This window comes from Homo sapiens, chromosome 12 (assembly GCF_000001405.40).
Source record: "Homo sapiens chromosome 12, GRCh38.p14 Primary Assembly".
Lineage (NCBI taxonomy): Eukaryota > Metazoa > Chordata > Mammalia > Primates > Hominidae > Homo > Homo sapiens.
This window is the reverse complement of record NC_000012.12, coordinates 49,422,351-49,445,303: the sequence shown is the minus strand read 5'-3', so window position 1 is coordinate 49,445,303 and position 22,953 is coordinate 49,422,351. Positions and strand designations below refer to the sequence as shown.

At 42.2% G+C, this 22,953-nt stretch overlaps 1 protein-coding gene across 17 annotated transcripts in view, besides 1 other annotated feature; it reads right to left on the bottom strand.

The window, feature by feature from the left end:
* Positions 1-22,953, bottom strand: part of SPATS2 (spermatogenesis associated serine rich 2) — a 160,574-nt gene that overhangs the window by 82,122 nt on the left and 55,499 nt on the right. For 6 of the 17 annotated variants that reach the window (XM_047429407.1, XM_047429405.1, XM_047429408.1 and 3 more), the window contains one exon: positions 3,488-3,574. The exons of the other annotated variants lie outside the window; for them this stretch is intronic. The gene's annotated coding sequence lies outside the window, so the exon portion shown is untranslated. The remainder of the gene's footprint in view (positions 1-3,487; positions 3,575-22,953) is intronic. 17 annotated transcript variants of the gene reach the window in all.
* Positions 16,164-16,458: a silencer, noted in NCBI's record as "tiled region #14813; K562 Repressive non-DNase unmatched - State 8:EnhW". NCBI's record gives its function as "represses a minimal TATA promoter and a strong SV40 promoter by Sharpr-MPRA in K562 cells {active_cell/tissue: K562}" and the evidence as "EXISTENCE:reporter gene assay evidence [ECO:0000049][PMID:27701403]".

Here is a 22,953-nt window from a genome sequence, read left to right as displayed (position 1 = left end):
TACCCATTCATGGTTTTTAAAAAAGGGGAAATGTTCTCACCTTTATAAAGGCCATCTATGAAAAACCTACAACTAATATCATACTCCATAATAAAACACAAAATATTTTCTTCCTTAGATAAGAAAAAACAAGAATGCACACCTCATCACTTGTTTTCAACAACATACTGAAAGATCTTGTCAGTGCAATAAGGATGAAAGAAAAGAAAAGAAAGTAAAGGCATCACAATTGGAAAGGAAGAAGTAACATGTTTTTATTCAAAGATAATATGACCCATATACAGAAAATCCTAAGGAATCCAAACACATATACACACACACCAAAAATACTGCTAAGGACTAAAACATTAGTTCAGCAAGGTCTAATAATTAAACCAATATACAAAAAGTAATGGTATCTGGCTGGGTGCAGTGGCTGACACCTGTAATCCCTGCACTTTGGGAGGCTGAGGCCGGTGGATCACCAGAGATCAGGAGTTCAAGACTGGCCTGGCCAACATGGTGAAACCCCATCTCTACTAAAAATACAAAAACTAGCTGGGCGTGGTGGCGAGCACCTGTAATCCCAGCTACTCAGCAGGCTGAGACAGGAGAATCGCTTGAACCTGGGAGGCAGAGGTTGCAGTGAGCCGAGATCACACCATTGCACTCCAGCCTGGACAACTAGAGCGAAACTCCATCTCAAAAAAATAGAAAGCAAGTAATGGTATATCTATATACTAGCAATAAACAATCCAAAAATAAAATTAACAAAAAATTACATTCACAATAGCATCACGAATTAAGGCTGGGTGTAATGGCTCACACCTATAATCCAAGCACTTTGGGAGGCTGAGGCAAGAGGACTGCTTTAGCCCAGGAGTTCAAGACCACCCTGGGGAAAAAAGCGAGACCCCATTTCTACAAAAAAAAATTTAAATTAGCTGGGCACAATGACGTGCAACTACAGTCCCAGCTACTCACAGGAGGCAGGCTGAAGCAGGAAGATCACTTGAGCCCAGGAGTTTGAGGCTGCAGTGAGCTATGATCATGCCACTGCACCAGCCTGGGTGACAGAGGAAGACCCTGTCTCTTAAAAAAAAAAAAACAACAACAAAACTTAAATACTTAGGAATAAAAATAACAGATGTACAAATCTCATACTCTGAAAATTAGAAAACATAGTTGAGAGAAAGAAATTAAAGATCTAAATGAATAGAGACACATTCCATATTCATGAACTGGAACATTCATATTCTCCCAATTTAATTTATAAGCGTAATACAGTCCCTATTAAAATTTCAGCAAGCATTTTTGTAGAAACTGACAAGCTGATCATAAAATTTATATGGAAATTCAAAGAAACCAGAATTGCCAAAACAATTTTGAAAATTTTGGAGGACTTCCACTACCTGATTTCAAAACTTACTATAAAGCTACAGTCATGAAGACAGTGTGGTACTGTCATAAGAATAGGCACACATATCAATGGGCACAAAATTGAGAATCCAAAAATAAACCTTCATATCTATGGACAACTGATTTTCAACAAAGGCACTAGAGATATTCAATAGGGAAAAGAGAGTCTTTTCAACAAATAGTATTGGGACAACTGGACTTCCAAATACATAAAAATGAACTCAGACTTTTACCTCATACTATATATAAAAATTAACTCAAAATGGATCACAGACCCAAATGGCTAAAACTGTAAAACCCTAGAAAAAACATAAGAGGAAGGTCATGATTTTTTTTTAGTGAGAGTTCTTCAAAAGCACAAACCATACAATCTATAAAAGAAAAAAAAAAGCTAGAATTCAAATTTAAGACTTTTCATACTTCAAAAAACAACATGCACCTTATGGTATCAGCAATAAGAACAGGCATATAGATCAATAGAATAGAAGTGAAAGTATAGACAAGAATCCTCACATTTATGGTCAATTTATTTTCAACAAAGGTGACAAGAAAATTCAACAGGGAAAGAATAATCTTTTCAACAAATGGTGCTGGGATAACTGAATATCCACATACAAAAGAATATACACTACCACATAAAAAATTAGCTCAAAATGCAAAAGCAATGAAAGTAGAGTCTCAGAGATATCTGCACACCTATGTTCACTGCAGCATTATTCACAATAGCCAAGAGGTGGAGCACCTAAATGTCTATCAGCAGACAAATGGTTAAACAAAATAAAGTATATACATACAATGGAATATTATTCGGCCTTAAAGAGGAAGGAAATTCTGACACATGCTACAAGGATGAACCTTAAGGACAGATGCTAATAGAATAAGCCAGTCACAAAAGGACAAATGTTGTAAGGATTCCACTTATGTGAGATACCTAAGCTAGTCAAATTCATAGAGACAGGAAGCAGAATGGTAGTTGCTGGGGGCTGGAGGGAAAGGAGAGAGTGAGGATGTTTAATGAATAAAGAGTTTTAGTTTTGCAAAATGAAGAGTTCTGGACATGAATGGTGATAATGGTGAATGTAATTTTTTTTTTTTTTTTTTTTTTTTTTTTTTTTTTTTAAGGAGACATGGTCTCTCTCTGTTGCCCAGACTGGAGGGCAGTGGCACAATCATAGCTCACTGCCACCTCAAACTCCTGGACTCAAGCAATCCTCCCACCTCAGCCTAATCAACACAGTGAGATTCCATCTCTATCCACAAGGTTGTCACCTAAACTTGCTCCTGCAAAGGGGGAAACGAAGCCAAAAAAGACAGCAGGAAAGGATAAATCTTCAGACAAAAAAGCACAAACAAAAAGCAAAACTGGTAGCAAAGGGAAAACAGGACAAAGTAGCTAACCAAGAAACTAAGATTTACCTGCAGAAAATGGAGAAACGACAAACGAGGAGGGTTCAGCCTCCAACGCAGCAAGAGAGAAAGAAGCCTAGTTTGATTAATATCAAATACCCTGTCTTATCCGTGGTCCTAGTCTCCCTTCTTGCACAATCCAGAGAAATATTTTTATCAACTATTTTTTAAATGTGTTTTATAGTAGCTCTAGAAACATTTTAGAAGGAGGGAATCCCACATTGTAGGAGGGACTCCCACATTGTCCCATTTATTAAGTGTAAGTGATTTTTTGTAAGAGGTACAATTATTTGCTTGTTATTTTTTGGTACAACAGAAGATAATGTGGGATACTGAATTATGGAAAGCTTTGACTATCTTGGGTGTCAGCTGGGCAGGTAGTTTTTATATCCTATAATACAAAAGCAATGGCAATACTCAATGGCAATGTGGAGTCAGAGTTGTGCATTCAATTCTTGAACATTTTAAATTATTTCCATTACCATGTTGTTTTTTCGTAGAATTGTTTCCTGAAGAAAACCACTCCTGGTCATGGCTCTCCCTGTCAGAATTGTGTGCGCTCTGTAACATCTTTGGTCATGGTAGCTCTGTTTTCCTAGTAATTTTGTTAATGTGCTGTGAAAGGTGAAAAATTTGCATATGTTGTGTATATGATATTAAGTTGTGAATTGGTAAGACTTACCTAACGGCTTATCAACATCTGAAGATACTGGAACTTGATATCCTCTTAAGGAAAATTTGCCTCCAAATTTTAAGTCACTGCAAATAACTGTTTAAAACAGAATTGTAACACATGGCTTTTTAGATTTTCGGTACATACGTTAAGAATTGTGTACAACTGAATGTCTGTGTACTGATCTTCAGTACAACCAATAAAATCTCAACTATGAAAGAAAAAAGGTAATTGGATTTTGAAAGGAAATTGGTAAAGAGATTCACTAGAGTTGTGAAAGAAAGTCAGATTGATGTTAAGTGGACTAATAAAGAAGTAGAAGAAAAGAACATATCTACTTCTCTTTCTAAAAGAGGGGGAAGACAGCCCACTTAAGGAGAAAATAGGAAGCTATTTTTAGGATTGAAGGAACATGTTTTTAGGAAAGAGGGCAGAAACCAACAAGGAGAAATAAAGATTGAAGATCTGAACGAGAAGAGATACTTGATGGATTATGGTACTTGAGAATACAACTGCAATTTGATAAATAGCAGATTTAAAAAACAGAACAATTAACTTAGGAAAGAGGTACTATTACTTAGAAATAAGTACTAATCCAAGCCAGAGTTGAAGAGGGCTTGAGTGAGGAATGTAGCAGTAAGAAGGAAATAGAAAGGTATAAGATACACTGTAGCCCAATTAGAAAACGATGATCATTTATTACACTATTTAAAGAAATTAATATCTATAATGCACTTAGAATAGTGCTTGTACATAGCAAACACCATCTAAGCAGTTGTTAAATAAATTTTTTGAAAAACAAAATGTATTTGAGAAGGAGGAAACTTTTAAGTGGAGAAACCTGGCAAAAACCACCTTAACCAAGTGACCAAAGTTATTAGCACTATTAATAAGGCAAATGAACATCATGTGGCTCCTGAAATACTTAACTGAGAAAGACACATCATTTACAATAGTATTCCTGCCAAAACTGCATAATCTGAATCTAATCATAAGGAAACACCAAACAAATTGAAGGACAATCTGCCAACAACTGGCCTGTATTTATTAAAAAATATTGGCCAGGCACAGTGGCTCATGCCTGTAATCCCAGCACTCTGGGAGGCCGAGGCAGGCAAATCACAAGGTCAAGAGATCGAGACCATCCTGGCTAACATGGTGAAACCCCGTCTCTACTAAAAACACAAAAATTAGCTGGCCGTGGTGGTGTGCGCCTGTCGTCCCAGCTACTCGGGAGGCTGAGGCAGAAGAATCGCTTGAACTCGGGAGGTGGAAGTTGCAGTGAGCCAAGATCGCACCACTGCACTGCAGCCTGGTGATGGAGTGAGCTCCATCTCAAAAAAAAAAAAAAAATTAATGCCATGAAATTCAACGAAAAATTGAAGAACTGCTTCAGATTAGAGACTGAAGACATGATAACTAAATATAATGCATGGTCCTGGATTAGATCTTAAGAGCGGGAGAAAAGAGGCTGCTGTAAGGGACATGAATGGGACAACTGGCTAGATGGAAATAAGGAGCTGTACATCAGGAAATACACTATTATATCAACATTTCAGTTCCTGGACTTTGACTCTTCAGGTTTATGTTAGAGAATGACTTTGTGATTAGGAAATACATGCTGCAATATTTAGGGATAGAGGAACATGAAGTCTACAGCCTACTCTCTCAAATGGCTCAGAAAACAACAATAACATGAATATGGAGAGAAATAATGATAAAGCAAACGTGACAAGATGTTAACATTTGGTGCTAAAGAAAGCATATCAGAGAGTTCTTTGTATTATTCTCGTAACTTTTCAGTAAGTTTGAAATTATGTCCAAAAGTTAAAAACCTATTGCTGCATAAACATATTCTAAATTTAACTTGGGGTATCAGGAACTTAACTTATCCTGATGAAACTTCTACAACATAAGTGGAAACTCCTCTTTGCTCTCGTAGCAAAGAAATGAAAATGGAATCTCAGGAAACTAATGTCAGCGTAAAGACATAGGAAAGGGCAAAGACGCCAGGTGTTCCTGGCAGTAGTAAGAAAAAGAAACAAATAATGCACATTCCCAGCATCAGTGGATACCTGAACAGAAGGGATGACTGCTAAGGTGGGAAGGAATTTCAACTGAATGTCTCCAAACCTGAACTCCTGATTTTATTCATCACCCAAAGCATACACTTTCCCAAGTCTTCACCTTCTCAGTATGTGGTACTAACCACTCACCCAACTGCTCAAGCCAAAAGCCCTGTAATTATCCTTGACTCCTCTATTTTCCTCAGATACCACAACCAAACGATCAGCAAGTTCTAACTATTCTCCAAATCCAACTGCTTCTCGCCATTCCACTGTTACCACTCTAGTCCAAGCCATCGTGATTTTTACAGCTTGTGCTATTATCATAGCTTCCTGAGTTCCCTGCTTCTCTTGTTAATGTAGTCTATTTTTCACACAGAAGCCAGTTTTTTAAGAAAAAACAACTCAGATCATGTCACTCCTCTACTCAAAACCCTTCAGTGCTCCCCATGACCAGCAAGCCCTACCTGACCTGGCCCCTGGAACTGGTAACTTCCTCCCCCAGCATCACCCCTTGCTCAATGCACTTCAGCTAATACCTGCCATGCCTCAAGCAAGCCAAGCACCTACCACTTCAAGGCCTTTGAACTTGCCATTCTGTCTGCCTGGAATGCTCTTCTCCTAGATTCACATGAATCGTTCTCTCTCTTTGTTCAAATGTCATCTCCTCAGAGATTCCTTCTCTAATCATCCTACATACAGCAGCCCCTGCCACTCCTATTCCTTTACCCTGTGTTTTTCTACATTTTTTTCTACAACTGTTACTATCTAGCATTATATTCTGTATTTATTTATTGTCTATCTCCCTCAATAGGATGTAAACTTGAGGACAAGAACTTGGACTCCATGAGGACAGAGCCTTTGATTATCTTGATAATTCTTGTATCCCTAGGCCTAGAACTATACCGGGCACATAGCAGATAGACAGTAAATTAGCTGGCTGACTGAATGAATGAATGAATGAATGAAGAGTACTCCTGATCATGAGGGTTATATAACAAGGTAATAAATAATTCATTAAGCCATACACTTAAATGTGTGCATTTTGCTGTATATGTTATACTTAAAATTTGAGGAGAGACTTAACATTATTGCTCATCGGCAAGATGCAAAATAAAAATTAAACACACACAGGAAAGGCTAAAATTTTTTAAAAATAGACAATACCAAGTTTGGTCAGGATGTGGACCAACTAGATTCTCAAATATTGCTCATGGGAACGTAGAATGGAAAAATAACTTTGGAAAACTATCTGGAATTTGCTAATAAATTTAAATATATGCCCATCTTATGACCCAGCAACTTCACTCCTAGACATACACCCAAAAGAAATAAGTACATATGGCTACAAATAAGAATATTAACAGCAGCTTTATTCATAATAGCCCAATCTGGTAACAAGAAGATGAATAGACTAATTGTGGTATATTGATATAATTAAAAACTACTAATAAAAAAGAAACACTGAAAAAAGAAACACTGCTACATACAACATAGCTATATCTCATAGGCATTGTTAAACAAAGAAGTCAGACCCAAAGAGTACATACTATAGGATTCTGTTTATATCAAGTACAAGAACAGGCAAAAATAATATCAGTGATAGAAGTTAGAATATTGGTTACCTCTGGAGGGACAGTGTTCCTCTGAGAAAAGACATCAGGGAACTGTCTTGGTGGGGAAATGTTCTACATCTTGATCTGGGTGGTAATTACATGGGTACAACATATGTAAAAATTCACTGATTACCCTTAAGATTTGTACATTTTACTGCATAAAAAACAACTTGAAAGCTTTTTAATTTTTTTATGTAAAATCTAGGGAAAAAACTTCAAAGCATATTCTTGACTAGTCATTTGTACATAAGAAACCATTCAGCTCCCTCTCCCTCCTCTCCCTCTCCCTCTCCCTCTCCCCACGGTCTCCCTCTCCCTCTTTTTCCACGGTCTCCCCCTGATGCCGAGCCAAAGCTGGACTGTACTGCTGCCATCTCGGCTCACTGCAACCTCCCTGCCTGATTCTCCTGCCTCAGCCTGCCCAGTGCCTGCGATTGCAGGCGCGCGCCGCCATGCCTGACTGGTTTTCGTATTTTTTTGGTGGAGACGGGGTTTCGCTGTGTTGGCCGGGCTGGTCTCCAGCTCCTAACCGCGAGTGATCCGCCAGCCTTGGCCTCCCGAGGTGCCGGGATGGCAGACGGAGTCGCGTTCACTCAGTGCTCAATGGTGCCCAGGCTGGAGTGCAGTGGCGTGATCTCGGCTCGCTACAACCTCCACCTCCCAGCTGCCTGCCTTGGCCCCCCAAAGTGCTGAGATTGCAGCCTCTGCCCGGCCACCACCCCGTCTGGGAAGTGAGGAGCGTCTCTGCCTGGCCGCCCATCGTCTGGGATGTGAGGAGCCTCTCTGCCTGGCTGCCCAGTCTGGAAAGTGAGGAGCGTCTCTGCCCGGCCGCCATCCCATCTAGGAAGTGAGGAGCGTCTCTGCCAGGCCGCCCATCGTCTGAGATGTGGGGAGCGCCTCTGCCCTGCCGCCCCGTCTGGGATGTGAGGAGCGTCTCTGCCCGGCCGCCCCGTCTGAGAAGTGAGGAGACCCTCTGCCTGGCAACCGCCCCGTCTGAGAAGTGAGGAGCCCCTCCACCCGGCAGCCACACCGTCTGAAAAGTGAGGAGCCCCTCCGCCCGGCAGCCACTCCGTCTGGGAAGTGAGGAGCGTCTCCACCCGGCAGCCACCCCGTCTGGGAGGGAGGTGGGGGTCAGCCCCCCGCCCGGCCAGCCGCCCCAGTCCGGAATGGAGGTGGGGGGGTTAGCCCCCTGCCCGGCCAGCCGCCCCATCCGGGAGGGAGGTGGGGGGGTCATCCCCCCGCCCGGCCAGCCGCCCCGTCCGGGAGGGAGGTGGGGGGGTCAGCCCCCCGCCCGGACAGCCGCCCCGTCCAGGAGGTGAGGGGCGCCTCTGCCCGGCCGCCCCTACTGGGAAGTGAGGAGCCCCTCTGCCCGGCCAGCCGCCCTGTCCGGGAAGGATGTGGGGGGGTCAGCCCCCCGCCCGGCCAGCCGCCCCATCCGGGAGGTGAGGGGCGCCTCTGCCCGGCCGCCCCTACTGGGAAGAGAGGAGCCCCTCTGCCCGGCCAGCCGCCCCGTCCGGGAGGGAGGTGGGGGGGTCAGCCCCCGGCCCGGCCAGCCACCCCGTCCGGGAGGGAGGTGGGGAGGTCAGCCCCCCGCCCGGCCAGGAGGCGGGGGGGTCAGCCCCCCGCCCGGCCAGCCGCCCCGTCCGGGAGGTAAGGGGCGCCTCTGCCTGGCCGCCCCTACTGGGAAGTGAGGAGCCCCTCTGCCCGGCCAGCCGCCCCCTCCGGGAGGGAGGTGGGGGGGTCAGCCCCCAACCCGGCCAGCTGCCCCATCCGGGAGATGAGGGGCGCCTCTGCCCGGCCGCCCCTACTGCGAAGTGAGGAGCCCCTCTGCCCGGCCAGCCGCCCCATCCGGGAGGGAGGTGGGGAGGTCAGCCCCCCGCCCGGCCAGCCGCCCCGTCCGGGAGGTGAGGGGCGCCTCTGCCCGGCCGCCCCTACTGGGAAGTGAGGAGCCCCTCTGCCCGGCCACCACCCCGTCTGGGAGGTGTACTCAACAGCTCATTGAGAACGGGCCATGATGACAATGGCGGTTTTGTGGAATAGAAAGGGGGTAAAGGTGGGGAAAAGATTGAGAAATCGGATGGTTGCCATGTCTGTGTAGAAAGAGGTAGACATGGGAGACTTTTCATTTTGTTCTGTACTAAGAAAAATTCTTCTGCCTTGGGATCCTGTTGATCTGTGACCTTACCCCCAACCCTGTGCTCTCTGAAACATGTGCTGTGTCCACTCAGGGTTGAATGGATTAAGGGTGGTGCAAGATGTGCTTTGTTAAACAAATGCTTGAAGGCAGCATGCTCGTTAAGAGTCATCACCACTCCCTAATCTCAAGTACCCAGGGACACAAACACTGCGGAAGGCCGCAGGGTCCTCTGCCTAGGAAAACCAGAGACCTTTGTTCACTTATCTGCTGACCTTCCCTCCGCTATTGTCCTGTGACCCTGCCAAATCCCCCTCTGCGAGAAACACCCAAGAATGATCAATTAAAAAAAAAAAAAAAAAAAAAAAAAAGAAACCATTCAGTAGCCGGGCACGGTGGCTCACACCTGTTATCCTAGCACTTTGGGAGGCTGAGGCGGGCGGATCACTTGAGCTCAGGAGTTCCAGACCAGCCTGGCCATCATGGCAAAACCCCGTCCCTACTAAAAATACAAAAATTAGCCAGGCGCACTGGCGTGTGCATGTAGTCCCAGCTACTCAGGAGGAGGCTGAGGCAGGAAGATTGCTTGAGGCCAGGAGACAAACTGCAGTAAGCCAAGATCATACCATGGCACTCTGGCCCGGGCGACAAAGCTAGACCTTATCTTTAAAAAAAAAAAAGGCCAGGCACAGTGGCTCACGCCTGTAATCCCAGCACTTTGGAAGGCTGAGGCAGGCGGATCATGAGGTCAGGAGATCGAGACCATCCTGGCTAAAACAGTGAAACCCCGCCTCTACTAAAAATACAAAAAATTAGCCGGGTATGGTGGCAGGCGCCTGTAGTCCCAGCTACTTGGGAGGCTGAGGCAGGAGAATGGCGTGAACCCGGGAGGAGGAGCTTGCAGTGAGCTGAGATTGCGCCACTGCACTCCAACCTGGGCGACAGACAGAGCAAGACTCCATCTCAAAAAAAAAAAAAAAAAAAAAAGCCATTCAGTTAAGCATTTTCCCAAATGGGAACAAATGTATGTAATACTATATTATATTAATTAAATACCATATTGTATTAAATTAAAACCTGAAATGTGGGGATACTAGTAAATAATAACGGCTGGATGTATTAAAAGAAAATAAAAATTATTAAATCTGGGTTTTTATATAAATTTGTTACTGCTTACTAAATGATAAAACAAGATTTGAAACTGTCAGTCTGGGATTAGTACCCACTGAGCTAGGGCTTAAAGCTAAGAAAACCAATGAACCAGATTCCATATTCAAGTTAGCCTTGCTCTAAAGAAGTATATGGTCACAGACCACATCCCTAGTACTATGACTCCTGAACCAGAGGGTACAGCTCAATGACTCTCAAGGTATAGAAATGAGAGAACAGACATGTAGTTCTCAACTTATCACTCTTATTGTTCTTTATACTTATTTTTCATTTCAAATCACAACAGAAGAGGGCCTAAAGTTTTTATATTTATCGGAATGGGAACATGTATTAAAAGGAGATGAGCAAGAGAGACAAAAAGCAGAATAGAGGTTACCAAGGGCTGGCGGGGAGGAGGAGTTATTGTTTAATGGATACAAAGTTTTTGTTGGGGTGATGATAAGTTTTGGGTTAGACAGTGGTGATGACTACACAACACTGTGAATGTATTTAATACCAGTAATTTGGCATCAACATACAAATGGTTAAAACGATAAATATTATGTTATGTATATATTTAAACTTCAGTAATAGATCCCAAATAGCCAAACCAATCTTGAAAAAGAAAAACAAGGAGTTGGAGGCCTCACATTTCTTGATTTCAAAACATATTACAAAGCTATAGTGATCAAAACAGTGTAGTACTGGCATAAAGACATACATTTAGACTAACGGAATAGAATAGAGAGCCCAGAAATAAATCCTCACATATATGGTCAAAAGATCTTCAACAAAGGGGCCAAGAACATTAGATGAGAAAAGGACAGTCTCTTCAACAAATGACGTTGGGAAAACTGGATATCTACATGCAAAAGAATGAAGCTGGACCGTTACCTTACACCATACACAAAAATTAACTCAAAAAGAAATAAGGAACCAAATGTAAGACCTAAAACTATGAAACTCCTAGAAGAAAACAAGGGGAAAGCTTCATGAGGCAGGATTTGGCAATTTCTTAGATATGACAGCAAAAGTGCACGCAAAAAAGCAGTAATAGACAAATGGGATTACATTAAACTTAAAACTTCTAAGCAATCAATGAAGTAAAAAGGCAACCAATGAAATGGCAGAAAATACTTGCAAGTCATATATCTATTATAAAGGGTTAATATCCAGAATTTATGAAGAACTCCTGCAAATCCACAACAACAACAACAACAACAAAAACCCAACTGTACAATAGGCAAAGGAGTTAAACAGGCATTTCTCCAGAGAAGATAAATAAATGGTCACCAAACACGTGAAAAGATGCTCAATCACTCATTATTAGAGAAATGCAAATCAAAACCACAATGATCAGGAGCTCATGTGCTCTTAAAAAAGCAAAACAAAACCAGGGTCAGGTTGAAATGGCTTACGCCTGTAATCCCAGCACTTTGGGAGGCCGAGGTCGGCAGATCACTTGAGGTCAGGAGTTCGAGACCAGCCTGGCCAACATGGTGAAACCCTGTCTCTACTAAAAATACAAAAATTAGCCAGGCATGGTGGTGCACACCTGTAGTCCCAGCTACTCGGGAGCCTGAAGCAGGAGAATCGCTTGAACCTGGGAGGCGGAGGTTGCAGTGAGCTGAGATCACGCAACTGCACTCCAGCCTGTGTGACAGAGAGACTCCGTCTCAAACAAAACAAAACAAAACAAGACACAATGAGTTAACACCTTGAACCCACTAGGATGGCTGCTACCCAAAATAAAACAAAGTAAAAACAAAAACAGAAAATAAAATAAGTATTAGTAAAGATGTGGAAAAATTGGAACCCTTGTGTACTGCTGGCAAGAATGTAAAATGGTAATGGCCACTATGGAAAACAGTATAAAGGTTCCCAAAAAATTAAAATTAGAACTACCACATGATCCAGGACTCCCAACTCTGGATACGTATTCAAAACATCTCAAAGCTGAATATCAAAGAGATATTTGTGTACTCATGTTCATGGTAGCATTATTCAGAAAAGAGGTGAAAGCAACCGGTGTCTATCAAAGGATGAATAGATAAAATGTGGTATATACATACAAGAGAATATTATTCAGCCTTTAAAAAAAAGGAAATCCTGTCACATGCTACAACATGGAGGAACCTTGAGGACAATGCACTAATTGAAACAAGCCAGTTGCAAAAAGACAAAAACTGTATGATTCCACTTATATGAGGTAAAGTAGTCAAACTCATAGAAACAGAAAGTAGAATGGTGGGCCAGGGGCTGGGTTGTTATTTAATGGGTATGGAATTTCAGTTTTGCAAAGATAAAAAAACTTTGGGCGATCTGTTATACAACAATGTGAATATACTTAACGCTCCTGAACTTTCATTTACATATGTATATATATTTTGAGACGGAGTCTCACTCTGTCGCCCAGGCTGGAGTGCAGTGGTGCTATCTTGGCTCACTGAAACCTCCGCCTCCTGGGTTCAAGTGACTCTTCTGCCTCAGCGTCCCCAGTAGCTGGGACTACAGGCGCCTGCCACCACACCCAGCTAATTTTTGTATTTTTAGTAGAGACAGGGTTTCACTATGTTGGCCAGGCTGGTCTCGAACTCCTGAACCCATGATCCACCTGCCTCACCCTCCCCAAGTGCTGGGATTACAGGCATAAGCCAGCACGCCCAGCCACCTGTGTGTTTTATCATCATTTTTGCAAAAATCCAAAATGATGACAAAACACACAGGTACTGAGGTGTGGACAAACAGGCCCCTCACATCTAAGTGAGAATGTAAATTTATACAGTATCTTTGGAAGACAACTAAGCAGTAGCTGTCAAAATTAAAAATGTATATATTATTTGACCCAGGAAGACAATTTGTTTTTTTTGACAAGGTCTTGTTTTGTTGCCCAGGCTCACTGTACCCTCAACCTCCCAGGTTCAAACGATCCTCCCGAGTAGCTGGGACTACAGGTGCACACTACCACACCTAGCTAATTCTTGTATTTTTTGTAAACACAGGGTTTCATATGTTGCTCATGCTGGTCTCAAACTGCTGAGCTCAAGTGATCCTCCTGCCTCGGCCTCCCAAAGTGCTGGGATTACAAACATGAGCTATCACACCCACCCTAGCAAGACAATTTCTAGGAATTTACCTTGCAAGGCTGTTTGCAAATGTATAAACCTATGTATTCAAGGTTATCCAATGCAACATTATTTATAAGAGCAAAATATTCAAACTAATTGTCAATTAATAGGACACTGGTTTAATTAATTGTAATCTGTCCACATAATGAGAATACTGTGCAAATGTTTTTGAGAAAAGTTCTTTGGGCCCGGTGCGGTGGCTCATGCCTGAATTCCCAGCACTTTGGGAAGCCGAGGCGGGCAGATCACAAGGTTGGGAGTTCAAGACCAGCCTGACCAACACGGTGAAACCCCGTCTCTACTAAAAAAGCAAAAGATTAGCTGGGCGTGGTGGCGCGTGCCTGTAGTCCCAGCTACTCAGGAGGCCAGGGCAGGAGAATCACTTGAACCCAGAAGACGGAGGTTGCAGTGAGCCAAGATCGCGCCACTGCACTCCAGCCTGGGCGACAGAGCGAGGCTCCACCTTAAAAAGAAAAAAAAAAAGTTCTTTATATATTTATTAAGTGAATATGATGGAGAAAGTAATGTATTTGCACTGGTTTGCACATATATAAAAACTGTATACCTGGAAGGATAGACAAAAAACTAGTAGCAGTGATGATCTCTTGAAGAATGGAAACTGAAAAGATAGGAAACTAGGGTAAGAAAGACTTTTCAGTCTACCTTTTTATATTTTGACATTGGAATAATATAAACATCTTATCTGTTCAAAAAAATTAATAGCGCACCCTTTTTAAAAAGACCCCAGCTGGGCACAGTGGCTCATGCCTGTAATCCCACTGAGGCGGGTGGATCATTTGAGGTCAGGAGTTCGAGATTAGCCCGGCCAACATGGTGAAACTCCATCACTACTAAAAATACAAAAATTAGCCAGGTGTGGTGGCACATGCCTGTAGTCCCAGCTACTCAGGAGCTGAGGCAGGAGAATTGCTTGAACCCAGGAGGTGGAGGCTAAAATGAGCCCATATGGTGCCACTGCACTCCAGCCTGGGTGACAGAGAGAGATTCTATTTCAAAAAAGTAAAAATAAATAAGACCCTTACCCAGTAAATTAAATCAAAGCTGAAAGCCTTCATTTGAATCTAAATAATATAATTCTAACTCAGAAACCCAATCAACAGGTTCATGAAATGTGTCAAGAAGATAAATGCTAACCTACTACACCTGCAGATAATGATGGAAAACAAGAAAATGAGAGGTTGCAAATAAAAACATTCTTCTCATCTTTAAAGGGTTTTAATTATAAGAAAGTCACCAGGAATTCTCATTCCATAATATAATCAGTTTACCAATAAATATCATTTTCATCAGCTTTATAAAGAAATATGAAATGCCAGGCATGGTGGGTCACGCCTGTAATCCCGGCACTTTGGGAGGCCGAGGTCGGCGGATCATTTCAGGTCAGGGGTTCGAGACCAGCCTGGCCAACATAGTGAAACACCATCTCTACTAAAAAATAATACAAAAATTAGCCAGGCACGGTGGCGTGCTGTAATCCCAGCTACTCGGGAGGCTGAGGCAGGAGAACTGCTTGAACCTGGGAGGCAGACCTTGCAGTGCGCCAAGATCACACCACTGCACTCCAGGCTGGGGGACAGAGTGAGACTTTGTCTCAAAAAAAAAAAAAAAAAAACAAGAAATATGAAAAAGATGGCCGGGCATGGTGGCTCATGCCTGTAATCCCAGCACTTTGGGAGGCTGAGGCAGGCAGATCACTTGAGGTCAGGAGTTCAAGACCAGCCTGGCCAACATGGTGAAACCCTGTCTCTACTAAAAATACAAAAATTAGCTGGGCGTGATGGCGCGTCCCTGTAATCCCAGCTACCTGGGAGGCTGAGGCAGGAGAATCACTTGAACCCAGGAGGCGGAGGTTGCAGTGAGCTGAGATCATGCCACTGAACTCCAGCCTGGGTGACAGAGTGAGACTCTCAAAAAAAAAAAAAAAAGAAGAAGAAGAAGAGAAAGACCTAAATTCTAGGCCAGGCACAGTGGCTCATGCTTGTAATCCCAGCACTTTGGGAGGCGAAGGCTGGTGGATCACTTGAGGTCAGGAGTTCAAGACCAGCCTGGCCAACATGGTGAAACCCCGTCTCTACTAAAAAAATAAAAATACAAAAATTAGCTGGGTACGTGGTGGCACATGCTTGTAACCCTAGCTGCTCAGGAGGCTGAGGCAGGAGAATCGCTTGAACCCCAGAGGCAGAGGTTGCAGTGAGCCGAGATCACACCACTGCATTCCAGCCTGAGTAACAGAGTGAGACTCAAAAAAGGAACTAAAAAGGGGATTTCCTCAGGTCAAAATGGTGAATATGAAACCTTTCTCTAAGTCCGCTTTCTCAACAATTGGCACCACTGGCACCAATTTTCTACTTTAATCTAAAAACTCTCCCATAATTGTAAGACTTGATCACCATAAATTTTATTTTGAAAAAATGTTTTCATTTTGAAAAACCAATTAATTTTTTTAATAAAAAAAAGAAACCTCAAATTGGAACAACATAGAATTTCTGGAAATTTAAAAGACATTCTAAGTGGGAAATCAGAAGCCACATGATACCACAACTCCTCTTTACTACTATTAAAAGACAAAAGGTCCTCCAAATTGCTTAACATTAGTCATCAGCAGCAGCTGTAGATGTGGGAGTAGAGGGAGCTCAAAAGGAGCAGAGCTGGAATACATGTTTGTCTCCTCCTATTTTACTGCTAGCTCAGTAGTTAGAGCTGTCTGCGCCCTCCTCCTCGCACAGGTGGCTCTAACCCAAACCCAACTGAGCTAAATTATCCTCAGCTGTATTACTCTTCATAACGGATTTAAACAATACTGATAATTTTATTACCACCCCCTTACACACACATATAAAACTCCGGTCCTCAGCAAGCAGCTCAAGGGATTGGAGGCAGCTATTAGGCAAAAACAAAACCAGGCAATTAGGAGCAACTATATTCACTGATTCTAACCCATAAAGGGAGATTCCAAGCATATAGAAAAAGCAATTTCTAAAAACCTTGTTAACTTAAAAAATAATTAACTGATCAACTGTTATTTAACATAAACCTACTATGTGCCAATACTGATGATAAAAAATTATGAAAGATGGAATATTATTCAGACTTTAATAGTAAGAAAATTCTGACAGGTGCTATAACATGGATGAACCTTGAGGATATTATGCTAAGTGAAATAAGCCAGTCACAAAGAAACAAATACTATATCATTCCATTTATATGAGGCACCTAGACTAGTCAAATTTTACCAAAAGTAGACTGGTAGCAGCCAGAGGCTAGGGGGAAGAGGGAATGAGAGTTACTGATTAATGGGTACAGTTTCAGTTTGGGAAAATGAGAAAAGTTGTGGAGATGGATGCACAAGAATGTGAGTGTATTAATACCACTTCAAAATGGTTAAAATGGTAAACGTCATGTTATGTGCATTCTACTGAATTTTTGTTTTTTTTTTTTGTTTGTTTGTTTGTTTTTTGAGACGGGGTCTCGCTCCTTAGCCCAGGCTGGAGTGCAGTGGCGCTATCTCGACTCACTGCAAGCTCCGCCTCCTGGGTTCACGCCATTCTCCTGCCTCAGCCTCCCAAGTAGCTGGGACTACAGGCGCCTGCCATGGCGCCCGGCTAATTTTCTGTATTTTTAGTAGAGACGGGGTTTCACCGTGTTAGCCAGGATGGTCTCGATCTCCTGACCTCGTGATCCGCCCACCTCGGCCTCCCAAAGTGCTGGGATTACAGGCATGAGCCACCGCGCCCGGCCTGAAATTTTTTTAATTAATGCAATAAGAAAAAAAAAATGAAAGAAAAAGTTGATTTCTTGACCCAGCAAGAAGACTCTAGAAATACTGATCAAGGGGTAAAAATGCAAAGAATACCAATATCATGAAGGTTTTTAAAGAGCTAGTATAGATCTTACAGACATTAAAATTATAAGTCAAAAATATAGATGACCTTATGCCAATACATTTGAAAATTTAGGTAATAAATTTCTTGAAAAACAAGTTACCAAACAGACTCACACACAAAAAAGGAAAATTGACATAGTCCTGTAACTCTAAAAGAAATTGAGGTCATAATTTAAAATTCTCTCATAACAGAAAGGGTTTCATTTCTTATTTATTTCTGGTAGGAATGTAAACTGGTACAACTTCTTTAGAATACAGCATTATTTTGTAAAGTAGTACACTTGTCAATCCTATGATCCAGAAATTCAAGTACAAGAGAAATTCTTGCTCATGGTACATTAGAAAACACGTAGTATTCATAACAGTTAAGAAAATGGAAACAACCCAAATGCCATTAACAAGAGAATAAACTGTGATGTATTCACTAAATGTCTGTACTGCTGCAAAAATGTGTCAACTATATGCAATGATATGGATTAATCTTAGCAATATAATGTTAAGTAGAAAATTCCAGATTACATACAACATAAGATTCTTTTTTAATAAAAAATACAACTAATGCTAAAACAATATATTATTTAGACACACATATATATTTGATAACTATTTTTTGAAAAGTTTACTTTGGGAGGCTGAGGCAGGCAGATTGCTTGAGCCCAGGAATGAGACCAGCCTCACCTTTTAAAAAACTTTATTGTTTGCCATAGGAGGATGTGAAGTAACTGATTCTTACATATTGCTAGTGGGAGTATAAAAATCTGTTTAGCAAAATCTACTAAAACTGAACATAAGCACACCCTATGACCCAGCAGTCCACTCCTAAGTAATACCCAACACAAATGCATTTATAATGTGTACTAAAAGACATGTACAAGAATGTTTACAGCAGCATTATCTGTAAGTCCAAAAACCAGAAACAAACCTAAACATCAATCAACTACAGAATGGATAAATTGTAACACATTCACAGAATAGAATATGATACAGGCTGGGCACGGTGGCTCACGCCTGTAATCCCAGCACTTTGGGAGGCCGAGGCGGGAGGATCACGAGGTCAGGAGATCGAGACCATCCTGGCTAACACAGTGAAACCCCGTCTGTACTAAAAATACAAAAAATTAGCTGGGCGAGGTGGCGGGCGCCTGTAGTCCCAGCTACTCGGGAGGCTGAGGCAGGAGAATGGCGTGTACCCGGGAGGCGGAGCTTGCAGTGAGCCAAGATGGCGCCACTGCACTCCAGCCTGGGTGACAGCGAGACTCTGTCTCAAAAAAAAGAATATGATACAGCAATGAAAAAGGAGCTACTGATGATACAACAAGGATGAATTTCAAAAGCAATGCTAAGCAAAGAATGTCAGGTGCAAAATAGTGCATGCTGCATGTTTCCATTTATATGAACCTCATAATCGAACAAATCTCATCTATTGTGACATAAGTCAGAATACTGGTCTTGTGATATAAATCAGAATACTGGTCAGGGAGAGAATCTGGGTCAGAGCACAGGAGGGCTTCTAGGATCCTGATCTGAATAGTGGTTATATGGCTGTGTTCAATGTAAAAATTCATTACGTTGTACCCTTAAGGATTTTGCATTTTGTGTGTATTACACATCAAAAAAAAAAAAGTTTACCAAAAACAAAGAAAAAAACTAAAGATGTCCTTTTACCTCTTACCTTCACAGTTTAACTGATGCTATCCATTACCCTTAGCATGAATTGACTAACACCCCTAAATGAACACTGGTAGGCTAAAAGGCAACACTGGCGTACACGCAGGCTTTTCTCTTCCCACTATGCAATACTTACTAAGAGTCTAATCTATTTGTTGTTCTCAAACCTACTTAATGCCAGTTGTGCTCATAATTACAATTACATAATTGTCATGAAATATTAATACTGGCTGGGCATGGTGGCTGACACCTGTAATCCCAGCACTTTGGGAGGCCAAGGCAGGCAGATCGCTTGAGGTCAGGAGTTCGAGACCAGCCTGGCCAACGTGGTGAAACCCCCGTCTCTACTAAAAATACAAAAAAATTAGCTGGGTATGGTGGCATGCGCCTGTAATCCCAGCTACTTGGGAGGCTGAGGCAGGAGAATTGCTTGAACCTGGGAGGCAGAGGATGCAGTGAGCTGAGATCGTGCCACTGCACTCCAGCCTGGGCAACAGAGAAGACTCCGTCTCAAAAAAGACAGAAATATTAACACTTACATGGCCGGACGTGGTGGCTCATGCCTGTAATCCCAGCACTTTGGGAGGCCAAGGTAGATGGATCGCTTGATCCCAGGAGTTCGAGACGAGCCTGGGCAACATAGCAATACCCCATCTCTATAAAAAATGTAAAAATTAGCCAGGCACGATGGCACACGCCTGTAGTCCCAGCTACTCGGGAGGCTAAGGTAGGAGGATCACCTGAGCTGTGATAGCACCACTGCACTTCAGCCTCTGCAACAGAGTGAGACCCTGTCTACAAAAAAGAAAAGAAAAACAAAAGTAAATACATCAATAAACTATAAGAAAAATTATTTCTTTAAAAACTAAACAGAAGGCTCTAGAAGACTGAACCAATACAAATTATTTTTAAAACTGTCCTCAATTTAAGTGTGGGTGAGACACATATACAAGTTGGGAGGGAAATTAAAAATCTAAAAAAAGGGTTTGTACTCATTGCTTCAAGTCTCTAAGAGTTCTCACTCTGCTTAAAAAAACCGTAAATAGAAGTTGCAAGAATGTATCACAGGGTGTAATTAATGCCAAAAATATGAAGAATTCTAATCAGCAAACTCATACTAAATACATCAAAGATTGGTGAATAAATGTACATTTGTTTTAAGCTAAAATAAAATACTATGGGCCAGGTGTGGTGGCTCACTCCTGTTATCCCAGCACTTTGGGAGGCCAAGCGGGAGTGGATCATCCGAGGTCAGGAGTTCCAGACCATCCTGGCCAACACGGCGAAACCCCATCTCTACTAAAAGTACAAAAATTAGCTGGGCGTGGTGGTGGGTGCCTGTAATCCCAGCTACTTGGGAGGCTGAGGCAGGAGAATCACTTGAATCTGGTGGGGGGCGGAGGTTGCAGTGAGCCAAGATCTCGCCACTTCACTCCAGGCTGGGCAAAAGAGCAAAACTCCATCTCAAACAAACAAAACAAATAAAAAATACTATGGTACGTATGTATCATTTTTTATTTCCTGCTTTAATCAACTTTCCCAATTAACAGTAAACACTATATAAGATATAATAGTAACAGATAAGAGAACTATAATCACAGAAACTTTGCCCTAATAACTTTTGGCAAACTAATACAATCTACTAGACAGATAAAACAAAAATACTAACTGTCAACAAGTCTACCTATTATAATGACAAAAGATAAATCAAACTGACCAAAGCTGAGACTGTTGTGCTTAAAAGCATATGCCTCTGGGGCCACATTAGCTATTCTCATTAATCAAAAGGGCACCATGGTTCCCTATGCAGGTATGTTCTGGTTAATATCACAGATGTCTCAGAAGAAGATGGCTGCTGAACGGACTACATGGGGCTGAGGAACAAAGGTCTGAGTATCACTGAAGTAGAAAAATAATGGTCTGAGTTTGTTTTTTTTGTTTGTTTGTTTGTTTGTTTTGAGACAGAGTCCCGTTCTGTTGCCCAGGCTGGAGTGCAGTGGCAGGATCTCAGCTCACTGCAACCTCCACCTCTCGGGTTCAAGTGATTCTCCTGCCTCAGCCTCCCGAGCAGCTGGGATTACAGGCGCATACCACCATGCCTGGCTAATTTTTGTATTTTTAGTAGAAATGGAGTTTCGCCATGTTGGCCAGGCTGGTCTCAAACTCCTAACCTCAAGTGATTTGCCCGCCTTGGCCTCCCAAAGTGCTGAGATTACAGGAGTGAGCCACTGCGCCTGGTCTGAGTTCTCTTAATAGAAAAAACAAGAGATTTTTACTAATAAATTTGCCCTCAGAGTTAAACTTTTCTCCGTAACATAATATTTAAAATGCCTTCCCTGACTCTGATATAAATCATAGGTTTCTCAGAAAAAAACAATAAAATTCATGTTACACAACAACATCCATTTAGGTGAATTTGGGTACGACAGTTACTTACAGGGTTTCTTTAAATCCATTGATTGAAAGCATCAGAGGACTCTCAGTGATAGAACTTTAAACTTTCTCATTTCATTCATTATTCAACTAATATTCATTGAATGCTTATAATTTTCTAAGCTTTGTGAGAGTTTGGGTGGGAGGATGATGCTCTTTCAGTTTCATGGAAGAATTATGGTATATCAGAATGCAAGGAGGCTTCAATATGAGAGCAGGTTGTGGAAAAGTGGGGACCAAGCCACTTAACTATTCAACTGTTTGACAATAAAGGGATTTTAAAAAATAGAGTATTAGGCCAGGCGCGGTGGCTCACGCCCGTAATCCTAGCACTGTGGGAGATCAAGGCAGGAGGATCACTTGAGGTCAGGAGTTCGAGACCAGCCTGGCCAACATGGGGAAACCCTGTCTCTACTAAAACTACAAAAATTATCTGGTGTGGTGGTGCGTGCCTGTAGTCCTGGCTACTCGGGAGGCTGAGGCAGGAGAATCGCTTGAACCCATGAGGCAGACACTGCAGTGAGCCGAGATCGCACCACTGCACTCCAGCCTGGGCAACAGAGACTTCATCTCAAAAAAAAAAAACAAAAACAGTATTAACCAGAGTGCTAGCAAGGCAAAGCAAAAGGGGTTTTCCCCCAAATAGGGAAGACTTTTTTCTTTGAAAAGGGATGAGGACATAAAACATAAAACAGAGAAAGGTAATACTTATTGGAGTAGAAAATAAGGGAGGAGCAACATACAAAGGTAATCAAAGACCAAATTAATCTTACATTCACATAGTCACAGTCAATTAAAAAAATTTTTTTTTTTTTTTAAATAGGGTCTGGTTCTGTTTCCCAGGCTGGAGTGCTGTGGCACGGTCTTGGCTCACTGTAACCTCCATCTCCTGGGCTCAAACGATTCTCCTACCTAAGCCTCCTGAGTAGCTGGGAATACAAGCACACGCCACCACATGCAGCTAGTTTTTGTATCTTTTGTAGAGATGGGGTTTCACAATGTTGCCTTGCGCAGGCTGATCTCGAACTCCGGAGCTCAAGTTCAAGCGGTCTGCCCATCTTGGCCTCCCAAAGTGCTGGGATTACAGGCGTGAGCCACCATGCCAACCCTAATCTTTATTGAATGCTTACTATAGGCCAGGAACTATACTAATAATGCAATTTTATATGCATTATCAAAAATCTTCACAAAAACTCTGTTAGGTAAAAGAAACATACTTCTGAAACAAACAAAAAGACAAAAATAACTAGAGGGAAGATTAAGGAGGTCATACCAAATGACTGCAACTTTTTAGTTATGGAAACAGAAGGAAAAAAAAGCAGGAAGGCTTGAGGGCTTGAGAGGAACAGATAAGAAACTAACATTTACTGCCTACTA